At 42.3% G+C, this 16752-nt stretch overlaps 2 pseudogenes, besides 2 other annotated features; both read left to right on the top strand.

Moving 5' to 3' along the window:
- Positions 3494–3553: an enhancer, noted in NCBI's record as "active region_22513". NCBI's record gives its function as "activates an Ori minimal core promoter by ATAC-STARR-seq in GM12878 lymphoblastoid cells {active_cell/tissue: GM12878}" and the evidence as "EXISTENCE:reporter gene assay evidence [ECO:0000049][PMID:35858748]".
- PRELID3BP5 (PRELI domain containing 3B pseudogene 5) lies at positions 3595–4054 on the top strand (annotated as a pseudogene).
- Positions 3684–3733: an enhancer, noted in NCBI's record as "active region_22512". NCBI's record gives its function as "activates an Ori minimal core promoter by ATAC-STARR-seq in GM12878 lymphoblastoid cells {active_cell/tissue: GM12878}" and the evidence as "EXISTENCE:reporter gene assay evidence [ECO:0000049][PMID:35858748]".
- On the top strand, positions 14432–14995 carry PRELID3BP4 (PRELI domain containing 3B pseudogene 4; annotated as a pseudogene).

Below are 16752 nucleotides of genomic sequence, written 5' to 3'. Positions count from 1 at the left end.
AATAAATGAAATAAGATATACACCCAATACTTTTTGGAAGAATTAAAAATATATATACATAAAATTGTGTCGCATATAAGACTGATTGCTACAAAACACACAATAGAAATAAAAATAAAATAGCTAGAAGTAAAGTAGTTACTAATAAGAAGAATCTCAGTAGAAGTAGGAAAAGAGATAAAAACGAATAACTGACAGAATGCACCTAATTACATAAAATAGGATCAAGGCCTGCACAAAACACTGTTGAAAATGTTACATCAATTAAACTTATTTTCTCCTTAGGTATAAAAATCATCGCACCTTTGAGGTCTCCCTTTCATGTAGTTAGATGAGTGTAGACAAAAAAAGAAAATGTATGGATTTAAGAAAGTCCTGGGATGCTCCTTTTCACAACCTAGCCTATTTTATTCATTACTCTATGTGATTGGTATGCTGCAGGACCTGGACTCTGAATCCAGATTCTAGCAGAATTAGCTTTCTGATCTTGGACTATGATCTAACCTCATTGTGTCTCCTATCTACAACTGCTCAATGCCTCTAAAATATGCAAGAAGAATGAGACATAGTAGGTGTAATTGTCTAGGCTGCTCTGCAATAAGGACACACTTTGTGTAGTGAATAGACAGTAAGTAACTGGTTCGTGCCACCAGTGGGACATCTCCATTGCTCCCTTTCCTTGGCTGATTCAATCATAGCAACCCAGAAGCGTTTTCAGAGTATCTTCCAGAATGATACAATTTTCACCTTAATCCTATCAGGTTCTGAACCAATTTGCAAGGCAAATTAGTGTTAATCCCCTGCTTATTTGAATAGCTGGTTTCTGGCCTATATACAAGACAAAACATACTGTAAAAACAGACACTCAGTACTAGCCAGTGTTATTTACCTCTTTTCCTATCTCAACTATATTGCTGGCCTTGTCACAAGACTGAACCCATGGAGTTCTGTCCATTAAACCTGGAAGAACAGTCCTGGAGGTAAGCAGGTCCAGAGTGCATGTCATATGCCACCAGGTCAGGACCGTGAACAAACCTGAGGCTGGGCACTAGATCACTTGCTGTGTTGAGCCACCATGCCTGCCAATGCCCTTAGCTCTGTGAGGATGTAAAATCAGGTATGTGTGGGCTGCTGTGCTGGGTTTCCAGCAGGCACGGAGCTGTTCCCAGGCTCAAGAGGGGTCCAATGGCCATCAAAACCCACATGTCCAGGAGTCAGTGGCTGAAACCACAAAGGAGCTCCAGTCACCTTAAAGAAAGATGGATTCTACCAATGGCAGGGTTCAATGGTCCCAAACCAGCCAGGAGATGCCAACGCTTGTGGAGCTGAACAGACACATACTGAGGATGCCTTCATAAACTACTCACAATCAGGGCTTGAAATACAGAGCAACCCAGGAAGGGGAGGGGGGTACAAACCTTTTGTTGCTCCTGGCTCACAGTGAGATAGGAGTTTGGCAGGACTAGTTTTGCAAGACAAACAGGAGGCTAGGTCCCCAAGACACAGGTCACAATACCCTCTTGATAAGACATGATTCCTTTAAAAAAAAAAAAAAAAAAAAGCCCAAACCAGTTAGAAGGAAGATGGCTACATAAGCAACCTCTGGTTACCCTCGTTGCTCATTATATGCTCATTATTATGCATTGGGATGCTAAAAGACACTAACACCCGAGCAATCACTGTGACTGTTTACAAATGCCATTGCAATGCCCAAGAGTTACTCTGTATATTCTGTAAGGGGGAGAAACTCCTGGTTCCACAAGCTCCCACCCCTTTCCCAGATAACTAAAGAAATAATTGACCCCTTGTTTAGCATATAATCCAGAAATAGCCATAAAATAGCCAGCTAGCCACCCTGGCCCCATTGCTACCCTGACTATGGGGTAGCCTCCTTTTTGTTCCTTAGTTTCCTTAATAAACTTGCTTTCACATTACTCTGTTGGCTTGCTCTTGAATTCTTTCTGGCTCAAAGTCAAGTATCTACTTGGTCTCCCAGGCTAAACTCCAATTTTAGGGGTATCCTTGCATCAACAGCACCACTGCCTTCAGCCAATTCCCCGGAAGGAGCTCCTCACACCCCAGTGGAGACCCTCATTATGTTATTGTAAACTTCCTTGGGACTGTTCATCTAGGAACAAGAAGTCTCTATGATGGAGATAATTCCTTATATAGTTCTTCCTCTCCAAAGTGCCTTAAAGTTTTCTCAATTATACAACTTTGATTTATATGTAATCAAGAATATGCTAAGGGGCTTTACTTTTAGATCAACTCAGAATTCATAGTTCTTTGTACATGACAATTGAAGCCTGTTCCTTATTCTCCACCTGTGTGGAGTCAGGACTGCTCTCTGCGGTCCAGGCTGTCCCCGGAAGCTGCTGAAAACCGACGATTCCATCAAGAAGGAACCCGGAAAGGAGAGAAACCCCTGCCTTTCTGCAGGCCTGCAGTAGGACCTGCTTCAACTGCTGCCCTGGAAGGAGCCCGAGGCACCTCAGTGGGAACCCTCATGCTGTCTCTGGGGACTTTTGCACTGGAACTGTGCCCTGCACGCATAAGAGCCTTGAGGTCTTTGCTGTGGAGATCATTCCATAATTTGTTCTTCCTCTCCTGAATGTCCTAAACATTTTTATTTAGAAAAACTCTCTTCATGTAGTGAATAATATGCAATGTGCTAAGGAACTTTTCTTTTAGATCTACTCAAAATTGTGATGGTTCTTCCATCGAAACTGTACACATTGATTAAAGCCTTTCCCTTATTCTCCAACTGTGGAATCAAAACTAGTAAATCAAGGTTGGTATAGATGGGCCTGAAGCAGACAGAAAGGGGGCAGGGACCTAGCTCAGAGCTTTTTCTTTTTCTTTTGAGTCTTATTATTATTTAAGATGGGGGTCTCGCTGGGTCGCCTAGGCCGGTGTGCAGTGGCGTGATCAGGCTTTAGTCTAAATTCCAGGGGCCTTTGAGGAGCTGTGGATACTAACAGGGTGGGAGGGGACAGCTGGGTGGATCATATGCTGGAGTTGCTTTGAAACTGACTGTGGCCCTCCAAATAAAGGCAGAAAACAGGCATTAGCACTGTTCTTTAAATCAGGGGTCCCCAATCCCCCCCACCACGGACCGGTTAGGAACCCGGCCCCAAAGCAGGAGCTGAGCAGTGGGCAAGCGAGCATTACTGGCTGAGCTCCGCCTAGCGTCAGATCTGCTGCATTAAATTCTCACAGGAGTGCGAACCCTATTGTGAACTGCGCATGCGCAGGACCAAGACTAGCTTTTGCTCTCCTTTTGAGAATCTATTGCGTGCCTGATTATTTGATTTCTAACACCTTCATCCCGAAACCATCCCCACACCCCTCTCCATCCGTAGAAAAATTGTATTCCACTAAACTGGTCCCTGGTGCCAAAAACGTTGCGGATCTCTGCTTTAAATGGTTTAAATGTTACATTGTAACGAAGAGTGGAGGACCGCCTCACTTGGAGCCGACGGCACCTGCGCACAGCGAAGCTGGTTGAAGGGCCCCCGACGGGGTGGGACAGGTGTAGCCTCCTCACCTCATTTTCCCCTGCGCTTCACAGACATCTAGCAGACTGCCTGCACCATCAAGATCTGGACTGCAGAGCACGTCTTTCACCACCCGTGGGAAACTGTTACAACAGCTGCAATGCACAAATACCCAAGCCCTGCGAACCTGAGCAGGGTGTGGGTTGATGTGTTGGAAGGATATATAGATCCCTCTGGAAAGTTGCAAGGCCACAGACTTCTCTGCACAGAGTGGGAACTGCAAGTCCCTTACTGTTGCAGCAAGAGCCAAAACATAGTCTTCAGGACCCAGAAAAAAAACTATTTTGACTCAAGAAACCACAATCATTGTGAAAAGAATCAGCCTCAGCAGTTACCTTGAAGAACTGAAGACAAGTACAATATCTTCAAATGCTAATAAAGGCTGAGAAGCACTGGAATGGGTAATACTTAAACTACATGTTAAGATTGAGAAATTGCTGGCTTCAAAAAGAGGAAGCATAAGAACTCGGATAGTAGCAGCATCATTTACAGAGAAATGATAATGGATGTTGGAAGACATCAAGTACCCCAGGTGTCTCCAACCTTGCAATCTGTTATTTTAAAACCGTATCTTAGGTAGAATTTTTAAAAAATAGACTGATAGAAGACTTTGTGACATGGAATAAAAACAAAGAGGTTCAGGGTGTCTAAATAAAAGGGATCATCTAAAATAAGTGTTGTTTGAAATGATTGTCTAATTTTGAGAGTTCCAGTATTTATGTGAAAATTTAAAAATTTTTCAAAAAGTACTTGGCAGTTTGCATTGACATTGAATCATTTTGAGGTAGAATTTTAAAGCTTTTAACACCTGGGAACACTACCTGACTTTGGTGGAACTTCAGAACAAAGCAGAGCCACCTCTTATATACACACAATTGCCCTGCTGCCATAAACTTCAACAGCTTGCATAAGGAACTTCACTTTAAAAGGAGAAATTGCTCAGTTTTAAATGATATTAATGTGTATAAAATAACTTGCTCTGCTATAAACCACCATTAAAAACCAGTGTTTTGGTTTAGTACTTGAATATTTTTGGAGTAAAAATTATCCCTAAAGTAGTATATGACTCCCAGAAACATATGCTTTTATTATAATAAAAAGTAATATATTGATTTGTCAAAGTTTTATAACATAGTAAAGGTATTACCTTCCTTGGATTTGTACTTTATGCTTTAATATGCTGTACCATGAGCTGGCTACATTAATTGGAAAAATAAATTCATTACTTGAAAAACAAAAGAGAAAATGAAGAGTGGGGATAGACTAACGGGGACTGAAAGAAGATCCCTAGCCTTGTGCCTTCTGAGTTAACAACCACAGGGTTCCAGAGCATCAACTCCAGATCAGACAATTCCAGGCAGCTACAGATGTCTGCCTTGGTGAGTCTTGCCCAGGATCTGGAAGTCCAAGATGAAAGCGCCAGTGATTCAGCTCCTGGTGAGGGCTGTCTTCCTGTCATGCCAATGGCCATGTTGTAGCTGTGTTCTCACATGGCACAGAAGGAGAGAGAGAAGTGGGTAGAGGGGCAAGAGAAGAAAGGGAGAGAAGGAGAGGGACCTGGTATCTCTTCCTCTTCTCATAAGGGCACTAATCCCATTATGAAACCCCAACCCTCATGACCTCATCTAAACTTAATTGTCTCCCAAAGGCCCCATCTCCAAATACCATCACTTGGAGATTAGTTAATCAAAATTATCATGAATTTTGGGGGAACACAATTCAGTGCAGAACACCAAGTGTATGGGAGGCTCTCATAATCTCTGCCCATCTCAGGTCCTGCAGCAACTAAGACTCATTCCTTCTTGTGGGCATCCCAGGAGAAAGATTTATGTGTCTTCACAACTTTAGTGTAAAGATTTGGTGTAAAGGTTTCCAGCCTTTACACCAAAATCCTTGGGCAGAGATGAAAAACATGCAGTAGAGAATACACTTGGGACTTTTACACTTTTCTGTCCCCTCAAATGTTAGAAATCAAAACCCATAAACTAGATGACAGCATTAATCTAGTCTAGCTGTGATTACATCAATCTTTTCACATAGTGGCAGTTCTAAGTATCAGTATAGAGAAGCTTAGATGTTGCATCTTATTGGAACGTGGAACTAGAGCTGTGTTTGCTTTGCACTCATTATTAGACTAATTACATGTCAATTATCCATGTCATAAAAAATAAGCAGATGGTGAAAGATGAGTTAGAGTGTTTTTGTGGTTTGGATATGGAGGGGGCTTCCCATCTTATCATCCTCATTTTCTGTTCTGAAGTCTCAAAATCTACTTAAAAAAAAATAAAACCACAATCCCAATCCTCTGATAACCCATTATTCCATTAACCAATTAACCGTTAATCCATAAATGGATTAAGACATCAAACGGGCAGAGCCCTCAAGACCCAATCACTGCTTAAAGGCCCTACCTCTCAATATTGCTACATTGGGGATTAAGTTTCAACATGAGTTTCAGAAGGGACAAATATTCAAACCACAACATCCCTGAATGGCAATTAATTGTAAAGAGAAATTAATTGTTATCTTAGATGACATGATCGTGATTTCAATTTGAAACCTTTTGAAGGTCTAGGGGATAAAGGGACTATGAATGCAGCCCTGGCTTTGGCTCCCTCAGGGTGGCCTCTGTGTGCAACACCCAGGTTAGATTATCTGCTAAGATTTCCTCTGGGCTGGCCAATCTGAAAGCAATATGGAATTGTGTAATCCAAGGGCTCCTGAACACAAGGGAAAAGGTGTTTCATCCAGTCTCACAGCAGGAGACATCAGCTTTTGAGTTTTTACACTTTTCTGGCCAAGTGCCTGGTCCTAATCAGATCATAGGAAGCATAGTGGTGATATTAATTCTAGAAGCAAATTGTAACAGAAGATGGAATTACTGGTATTAACATAAAACCCTAACATCTTAGACGAAACTCAATCTGTGATAGGGTGGTTTAAGTGATAAAAAGAAAAGGTACTCCTTAACCTGTGGAGGGAAAGCTCTTTTGAGGAACCCTGGTTAATAGTTTATTATTGCCCCAAACCACATTGCTAGTCCTGGAGCAGAGACTGCAATCTTGTTCTCCAGGCAGAGAAAAGCTTGAGGAGAGGTGTGTCCTCAAAGACAACTTGGGATGTTAGTGAGAAGCAGGGCAGTGGTAGTCACTCAATTCTTTCATTTCCTTCTTGTCTTTTATTTTCTATTTATTTTTATTGTGGTAAAATACATATAACAAAATTTACCATCTACCATGAATTCTGAGTCTATCTAGAAGTAAAGTTCCTTAGCATATTCTTGATTACACAAAGATAGTTTTTATAATTTGGAAATCTTTGAGGTACTTTGGAGAAGAAGAACTAAATAAGGAATGATCTCCATCATAGACTTCTTGCTCCTAGTACTTTGGAGAGGAAGAACTAAACAAGGAATGATCTCCAACATAGAAACTTCTTGCTCCTGTTGCCTCTATCTAGAAGGCAGAGTCCCAAGCAAGTTTACAATAACATCATGAGGGTCCCCACTGGGGTGTGAGGAGCTCCTTCCAGGGCATTGGTTGAAGGCAGTGGTGCTGTTGATGCAAGGATACCCCCAGAATTGGCATTCAGCCAGGGAAGCCAAGTGGATACTTTGCTTGTACCAGAAAGAATTCAAGAGCAAGCCAAAAGAGTAATGTGAAAGCAAGTGTATTAAGGAAACAAAAAGAAGGCTACCCCCGTAGTCAGGGTAGCACCAAGGGACAGGGCAGCTAGCTGGCTATTTTATGGCTATTTCTTGATTATATGCTAAATGAGGGGTCGACTATTTCTTTAGTTATCTGGGAAAGAGGCAGGAGCTTGTGGACCGGGGGTTTATCTACCTTACAGAAGATACAGAGTAACTCTTGGGGATTGCCATGGCACTTATAAACAGTCATTGCTCTGGTGGTAGTCTTTTAGCATGCCAATGCATAATAATTAGCATATAACGAGCAATGAAGGTAACCAGAGGTAGCTTTTATGCCATTTTCCTTCTAGCTGGTTTGGGCTTTTTTAAAACAATTTTTAAATTTTTTTTAAGGAATCTTGTACCGGGTACTGTGACCTGTGTCTTGGGGACCTAGCATCCTGTTTGTCTTGAGAAACTAGTCCTGCCAAACTCCTATCTCACTGTGAGTAATGAGCAAGAAAAGTTTTTTTTCCCTTTCAGGGTTCTTCAGTATTTCAAGCCTTGATTGTGAGCAGTTTAAGGAGACGTCCTGGGTATGTGTCTGTTCAGCTCTGCAAGCGCTGGCATCTCCTGGCTGGTTTGGGACCCACTGAACCCTGCTATTGGCAGAATCCATCTTTTTTTTTTTTTCCGAGAGGGAGTTTCGCTCTTGTTGCCAGGTTGGAGGCCAATGGCGCGATCTCGGCTCACTGCAACCTCCGCCTCCCAGGTTCAAGTGAGTCTCCTGCCTTAGCCTCTCAAGTAGCTTGGATTACAGGCATGCACCACCATGCCTGGCTAATTTTGTATTTTTAGTAGAGACGGGGCTCACCATGTTGACCTGGCTGGTCTCGAACTCCTGACCTCAGGTGACCCATTTGCCTCAGCCTTCCAAAGTGCTGGGATTACAGGCGCGAGCCACCATGCCTGGCCTAATCCATCTTGTCTTAAAGCGACTGGAGCTACTTTGTGGTTTCAGCCACTGACTTCTGGACATGTGGGTTTTGATGGCGATTGGGTCCCTCTTGAGTCTGAGAACAGCTCTGAGCCTGCTGGAAACCCAAAACAGCAGCCCACACACACCTGATTTTACATCCTCACAGAGCAAAGGGCATTGGCAGGAGTGGTGTTCAGCACAGCAAGTGATCTAGTGCCCAGGCACAGGTTTGTTCTTGGTCCTGTCCTGGTGGCATGTGACAAGCACTCTGGACCTGCCTACCTCCAAGACTGTTCTTCCAGGGTTGGTGGACAGAACTCCATGGGTTCAGCCTTGTGATGAGGCCAGCCATGTAGCTGAACTAGGAAAAGAGGTAAATGACTCAGGCTAGTACTGAGTGTGTGTGTGTGTGTGTGTCTGTGGGTGGGTGTTTGAGATGGAGTCCTGCTCTGTCACTCAGGCTGGAGTGCGGTCGCATGATCTTGGCTCACTGCAACCTCTGCCTCTCGGGTTCAAGCGATTCTTCTGCCTCAGCCTCCCGAGTAGCTGAGACTCCAGGTGCGTGCCACCACCCCCGGCTAATTTTTGTATTTTTAGTAGAGATAGGGTTTCACCATGTTGGTCAGGCTGGTCTTGAACTCCTGACCTCGTCATCTGCCAGCCTTGGCCTCCCAAAGTGCTAGGATTACAGGCATGAGCCACCACGCCGGCCTGAGTGTGTTTTTATAATATGCTTTTTCTTGTATATAGGCCAGAAACCAGCTATTCAAATAAGCAGGAGATTAACACTAATTTGCCTTGCAAATCAGTTCAGAGTAGGATTAAGGTGAAAATTGTATCATTCTGGAAGATACTCTGAAAACGCTGCTGGGTTGCTATGATTGAATCAGCCAAGGAAAGAGAGCAATGGAGATGTTCCACTGCTGGCATGATCCAGTTACTCACTGTCCATTCACTATAGAAAGTGTATCCTTATTTCAGGGCACCCTAGACAATTACACCTACTATGTCTCATTCTTCTTGCATATTTTAGAGGCATTGACTGGTTGTAGATAGGAGACACAATGAGGTTAGATCATAGTCCAAGATCAGAAAGCTAATTCTGCTAGAATCTGGATTCAGAATCCAGGTCCTGCAGCATGTCAATCACATTGAGTAATGAATAAAATATTAGTCTAGGCTAGGTTGTGAAAAGAAGCATCTCATCTGTCTCTACTAAAAATACAAAAAAAAAAAAAAAAAAAAAAAAAAAAGCCGGGCGTGGTGGTGGCCGCCTGTAGTCCCAGCTACACAGGAGGCTGAGGCAGGAGAATGGCGAGAACCTGGGAGGCGGAGCTTGCAGTGAGCCGAGATCACGCCACAGCCCGGGCGACAGAGCAAGACTCTGCCTCAAAAAAAAAAAAAAAAAAAAAAAAAAAATGGAGCATCCCAGGACTTTTGTAAAGCCATACATTTTCTTCTTTCTTTCTTCCTTCCTTCTTTTTCTTTTCTTTTTTTTGTGTTTCACTTTTGTTGTCCAGGCTGGAGTTCAATGGCGCGATCTTGGCTCACCGCAACCTCCGCCTCGCAGGTTCAAGCGATTCTCCTGCTTCAGCCTCCCGAGTAGCTGGGATTACAGGCATGTGCCACCACGCCCAGCTAATTTTGTATTTTTAGTAGAGATGGTATCCATGTTGGCCAGGCTGGTCTAAAACTCCCGACCTCAGGTGATCCGCCCACCTTGGCCTCCCAAAATGTTGAGATTACATGCGTGAGCCACTGCGCCCGGCAGCCATATATTTTCTATTTGTGTCTACACTCATCTAACTATATGAAAGGGAGACCTCAAGGGTGCTATGATTTTTATACCTAAGGGTATAATAAGCTGAATTGACTTAACATTTTTAATAGTGCTTTGTGCAGGCCCCAATCCTATTTTATGTAATTAGGTGCATTTTATTACTTATTGTCTTTTATCTCCTTTCATACTTCTACTGAAATTCTTATTACTATTTTATTTCCAGCTATTTTATTTTTATTTCTATTGTGTGTTTTGTAGCAATCAGTCTTATATGTGACACATTTTTTGTGTAGATTTTCAATTATTACAAAAAGTATTGGAGTGTGTATCTTGTTTATTATTTTCCATTTATTGACAAGTTTCTAAGATTTTTATAGGAACATTTTACCTGCTGCTTCCAACTTCAGCATATCAGCTTCTGATGAGCCTCTGCCACACGTTCCCTCTCCAGTGTCCCACAGGGGAGACTCAGATGCAACCTAATCACCAATATCACATACATTAGTCTCATTCTCATGAGAATTTATTTAGGATATACATCATCCTCCAGCTGAACTGTGCATTGAAAATGCATAACCTAATTTTATGGAGTATTGCCAGATTGTTTTTAAAAATAGATTAAGTATTTGTCCTCCAAAAATAGATCATGATAATTACTGTATACATTTATTCCCTATAGACACTTGGATTGATCCAGTGTCTAATATTTGAGGCATGTTTCTGAAGAGAGAAGCCCAGGGTGGTTCAGCTGCTGTCTGATTTAGTGTTTACTGATTTCTGACAGCATCTTGTTTTAGGGAGCCAGTTTGCAATGTGGTTCAGAAAATCATTCCCTGACATTCAGTCTAAAATCTATGTCTACACATTTTTATCATATTTTAAGTGAATTTTATCCCATAATAGTTTTCTGCTTATACTATATGAGTGTTTTCTTTTCCTAAAACCCATAAAAGAAATTGACCAGTAATATCACATTTAATATGGTGAGTCTTAATCCATAGTTGAACCATTTGAATTTAGATTTGTCCATCTGAAGATAAAATTGAATCTCAAGTTTTTGCAATATATCAATATATCCATGGTCACAGGACAAATAATAATATGTAAATGTTTCTTAAAAGTACTTTCAGAATGAGCTGAGGGTCTCTTAGCAGATGACAAAATACTATTGTAAGGTGTTCTCTGTTTCTTTGAAGAGAGAAAGGAATTCATCCTGCTTCCCCCTGCTCTGCTGAAAATGTATGAGATGTGGCCTAACTTTGTAGTTGTCATGCTAACTTAAATGCATGAAAATCTGTGAATACCAACTGAATGCTAGTGTTCCCTGCCTCTTCTGTTTGGTACACTGGGGTTTTTGTTGTGAGAATTGTGTTATCTCCCAACAGTGGATATATTCTGTCCTTTTCTTCCTCCCAAGTGAACTGTGCTGAGAAGCAGTTATTCATAAGGCCTCTCAGAAGATGGTTTCATGAGATCAAACAACCATTAGTGTTCACAGCGGTTTCCAATTTGTGGAGTCAGTGTTCATACAAGTAGTAGGGGATTCTGTTTAAGAGAATTATAAAAATGTTTTAAGACAAATGTTTTACAAACTCTTTGGAAGTTTGCCTTACAGTTAAACTTTATTGGTTTAATAATAAAGTCACCTCTGGTCATACTTGATACTAAGCTTGAACAACTAGGAAGCACAGCATTGAATATGCTCATCCCTGACCCTCTCCTTTTTCTTCTCACTCCCACTTCCTAAGGACAGCACTCTTGAATAAAGCAATCTCACATGAGTGTTTATTTCAGTAATGTTTTTTGGGGGAAGCCAGGCCATTAAAACATACCTTTCTGCTCACCTTATGTACTTCACTGTTTTTCCCCTGCTGTTGGAATCCTCAAAAATTCACTCTGTATTAAAATTTGTTTCAGAGTACCTTCAAAAATAGAATGACTCAGGCCAATCTTGACTCTCGATATGCTGCAAATGAGACATGTTCCCTACATTTAAACAGTCTTTGACTGAGTGGTACAACTACATAGAAAGTCCTTTTTAAATACCAACAAGTTTAAGTATTTATACGACCTTTTCGTGCGTCATTCCAGTGCCCCCTCTTCAATTTTTTCATCATCCAATATCTTTCCCAAACCACAGGGCCAAATCAACTATATGTTAACATTCTGAATCCAGTAATATACTTTAAAAAAATGCATCATAATCTAATGGAGTTTATCAGGAACTCAACTTTGGTTTGGCGTTTGAAAATCAATCTCTATTATTCTCCACATTAACAGCAGAAAAAATATACGATAATCTCAGTAGATACAAAAAATCTTTTAAAAAATTCAACCCTGCTTCATTAATATAAAAGTCATCTTAGCAAATTAGAAATTGCAAATTCCCTTAATTTGATAAAGCATTTCTATATGAGATGTACATCTAACATCTCATCAAATTGTGAAATACTGAAAACTGCCAATTTCTTATTGAAATAAGAAAACTGCCAATAACTGGACCCATTCTCTCACACCCTGCCCCACCCTATTACAGCCTGATCCAATAGAAACCCAAGGAGTTTCAATAGTGCCTTCTGGAATGATAAACTTTCCACCACAACCCTATCATGGTTTAAAGCAATTAGCAAGGTAATAAGTGTTAATCCCCACATGATTGGATTCTGGTATCCGACTTCCTGTACAAGACAGAATGCTATAAAAACCCACAGTCAGGGATGAATTGAGCCATTTGCTCTTTTCCTAGACTAGCTACTTGGCCGGACCTGGTCAAGCTTTGGGAGGCTGAGGCTATGGAGTTCCATCCATCAACTCTGGAAGAGCTGTCTTGGAGGCAGGCAGGTCCAGAGCCCCACATGCCATGGGACCTGAACCGAGAGCAAGTCTGGGCCTGGGCACTGGATAACTTCCCTGTGCTGAGCCGCCACTCCTGTCAATGCCATCAGCTCTGTGGGAGCTCTGCTGCGAGCTGGCTGCTGCACTGAGCCTCCACCAGGCACGGAGCCCTTCCCGGAGATGAGAGGGGCCAAAAACGGCCTCCAGACTCCCATTTTGAGGAGTCAATGGCTGAAACCACAGACGGTCTTCAGTCCCCTCAAGAAGACGCAGATGCTACCGACGGTGAGTTCCAAAGCGGCCTGAAGCTGCCTGGAGATGCCAGCGCCTGCGGAGGTGGAAGTACACATGCCCAGGGCGCTCTCTGCAGTTCAGGACCCTCCCACCCCGCCCCGGAAGCTGCTGAAAACCCAGGGTTCCATCAGGAAGGAACCCGGAAAGGAGAGGAACCCCAGCCTTTCTGCAGGCCTGCGACACGACCTGCTTAACTGCTGCCCTGGAAGGAGCCCGAGGCACTCCAGTGGGTGCCCTCATGGCGTCGCTGCGGACTTTTACACTGGAACTGTTCCTTGCACGCATAAGAGCCTTGAGGCCTCTGCTGTGGAGATCATTCTTTAATTTGTTCTTCCTCTCCTGAACGTCCTGAACATTTTTCATTTAGAAAAACTCTCTTCATGGAATGAATAATATGCAGTGTGCTAAGGAACCCTTCTTTTAGATCTGCTTAAAATTGTGATGGTTCTTTTATTGAAATTATACACATTGTTTAAAGCCTTTTCCTTATTTTCCACCTGTGAAATCAAGACCGGTAAATCAAGATTGGTATAGATGGGCCCAAAGCTGACAGAAAGGGGGCAGGGATCCAACTCAGAGCTTTTTTTTCCTTCTTCTTTTTCCTTTTTTTTTTTTCTTTTGAGGTGGGGTCTCACTTTTTTGCCCAGGCTGGCATGCAATGGTACGATCATGCTTTAGTCTAAATCCCAGGGGGCCTTTCAGGAGCTGTGGATACTAACAAGGTGGGAGGGGACAGCTGGGTGGATCACTTGCTGGAGTTTCGAAGCTGACTGTGACCTCCCAGATGAAGGCAGGAAACAGACATTAATAATGTTCTTTAAATCGAGCTCCCCAACCTTTCTGGCACCAGGGATTTGTTGCGTGGAAGGCAATTTTTCCATGGATGGCTGGTAAGGGTTGGGGGGATGTTTTATGATGAAACTGTTCCACCTCAGATCTTCAGGCATTAGATTCTTATGAGGAGCATGCAAGGTAGATCCCTTGCAGTGCCAGTTCACATTAAGGTTGGTGCTCCTATGAGAATCTAATGCCATAGTTGATCTGACAGGAGGCAGAGCCCAGGCAGTAATGCTTTCTTGCCTGCTGCTCACCTCCTCCTGTGTGGCCTGGTTCCTATTAGTCCACAGGCTGGTATTAGTCTGTTTCTGGGGGATTGAGACCCCTGCTTTAAATTGTTTATAAGTTACATCGTATAATAATAAGTGGTGAAGGAGGAGGTTGGGATGCCCTTCACGTGGGGTTGATGGCACACAGTGAAGCTGGCTGGGATGCTGGGAGTCAGGTGGGGCAGGTGTAGCCTCTTTGTCTCATTTATCCTGCACTGCCCCGACATCTCTAAGGCTGCCTGCTCCATCATAATCTGGACTTCAGAGCATGACTTTGACCACTCATAGGAAACTGTTACAACAATTGGAATGCACAAATGCCCAAACCCTATGAACATGAGCATGGCTGGGGTTGGTGTACTGGACAGACATAGATCCCTCTGGAGAGTTGCACAACCACAGACTTCTCCACCAAGAGTAGGAACTGCCTTCCATTGTGAAGTCTCTTATTGGTACAGCAAGAACCAAAACATGTACTAGAATATTCTGTAGTTAATCCTATAGAGAAAACAATGGAACTTAAATCTACGAATATTTCATTTACAAATATGGTTTTAGTAGATGAGAGATATACACAAACCACATCATCAGGACACAGAAAAAAACTAGTTTGCCTCAAGAAGCTGTAAGTAGTGAAAGGAAGGAGCCTCAGCAGATACCTTGAAAAAACCGGTGGCAAGAACAGTATCTTCAAATGCTAATAAAGGCTGAGAAGCACTGGAATGGGTCATACATAAATTACATGTTAATATTGAAGAATTGACAGCTTCCAAAAGAGGAAGCCTAAGAATTCTGATGGTGGCTGCAGAATTTGTAAAGAATTGATAATGAATGTGTGTAGACAATATCAAGTACCTCGGGTCTCTCCAAGTTATATTTATTTTAAAAATGTAACTATATTTTAAGTACAATTATTAAAAAACAGGCAGATATAAGACTATGCAATTTTAGATAAAGAGAAATAGTTGCAAGACATCTAAATAAAAGGGATCATCTGAAATTAGTGTTGTTTGAAATGACTAATTTTGAACATTCTAGTATTTATGTGAAAATTTAACAATTTCTTTGAAAGAAATTCTTTGAAAGAATTTTCAATTACTTTGAAAGAAACTAGATGTTGGCATTAAGTCAGGGTACATGTGTGGGATCGTTGTTTAGGTGAACATGTGTCATGGGGGTTTGCTGTATGCAGTATTTCATCACTGTGTTAGGCCATTTTCATACTGCTAGGAGAAATACTGGGTCATTTATAAAGTAAAAGAGGCTTAATGGACTCACAGTTCCATATGGCTGGAGGGGCCTCACAATCATGGCAGAAGGGAAAGGAGGAGCAAAGGCACGTCTTACATAGCACCATGCAACAGAGCATGTGCAGGGGAACTGCCCTTTGTAAGACCATCAGATCTCATGAGACTTATTCACTATCATGAGAACGGCATGGGAAAAACGGCCCCATGGTTCTATTACTTCCCACTTGGTCCCTCCCAACACACAAGGGGATTATGGGAGCTACAATTCAAGATGAGATTTGGGTGGGGACACAGCCAAACCATATCAATCACTCAAGTACGGAGCCTAGTACCCATTAGTTATTTTTCCTGCCTCTCTCTCCATTTACCATCCACCCTCCGATAGGCTCCAGTGTCTGTTTTTCCCCTCTATATGTTCTTGTGTTCTCATCATCCAGCTCCCACTTATAAGTGGGAACAAAATTGACTTTTTTTTTTTATTGTGAACTTCCTTGAAACTGTGCCCTCTGTGATGGAGATCATTCTTTATTTAGTGCTTCCTCTCCAAAGTGCCTTAAAGTTTTCACAATTATAAAAACTATCTTTATGCAATCAAGAATATGCTAAGGAGCTTTACTTTTAGGTTAACTCAGAATTCATAGTTCTTTATACATGACAACTGAAGCCTATTCCTTATTCTCAACTTGTGGAATTGATTTGGATTGGGTGGAGTCAAGATTAGAAGTACATATAGGTGGGTAGGAGCATGAAAAAGTCTGTGATACAGGTCAGAATTGGAGGCTGAACTCCAGGGTGCCTTTGTATAGTTGTGGATGATACCAACAGAGTGGGAAGGGGCAGTGGACCACTGTGCTGGAGTTCTCTTGAAACTGACCATGACCTCCCTGGTGACAGAAAAGAACAGTCATCAATAAAATCTCCTTGAATGGTATGCAGTTTACATTAACAGGGTACAGGTGGAAATTAAATTTAGGGGGACATGAGGAAGACCCCTCAGCCCTGTGCCTTTTGAATTGATAGCCATGAGGTTCCAGGGTACCAGCTTCAGGTCAGACAATTCCAGGAAGCTGTAGACTCTTGCCAGTGTGAAGTTTGCCCACCTCAAGGATGCACATGAATTGTACTTTAAGATCCAGCAAAACTGAAGGCTCATGGGTATGGTCACTTGGCCCAGGGAGGCTATGCTCTCACAGTCTCCACCCATCTCAAGACCGGCAGCATCTGACACTCACTTCTTTCTGTAGGTGACTCAGGAGAAAGATTTATGCACCACCATAGCTTCAGCCTCTAGCCATGCACATCAAAATCTCTGGACTTAGATAA

This window comes from Homo sapiens, chromosome 5 (genome assembly GCF_000001405.40).
Source record: "Homo sapiens chromosome 5, GRCh38.p14 Primary Assembly".
NCBI classification, from domain to species: Eukaryota; Metazoa; Chordata; class Mammalia; order Primates; family Hominidae; genus Homo; species Homo sapiens.
This window is presented reverse-complemented; position numbering and strand designations above follow the sequence as displayed.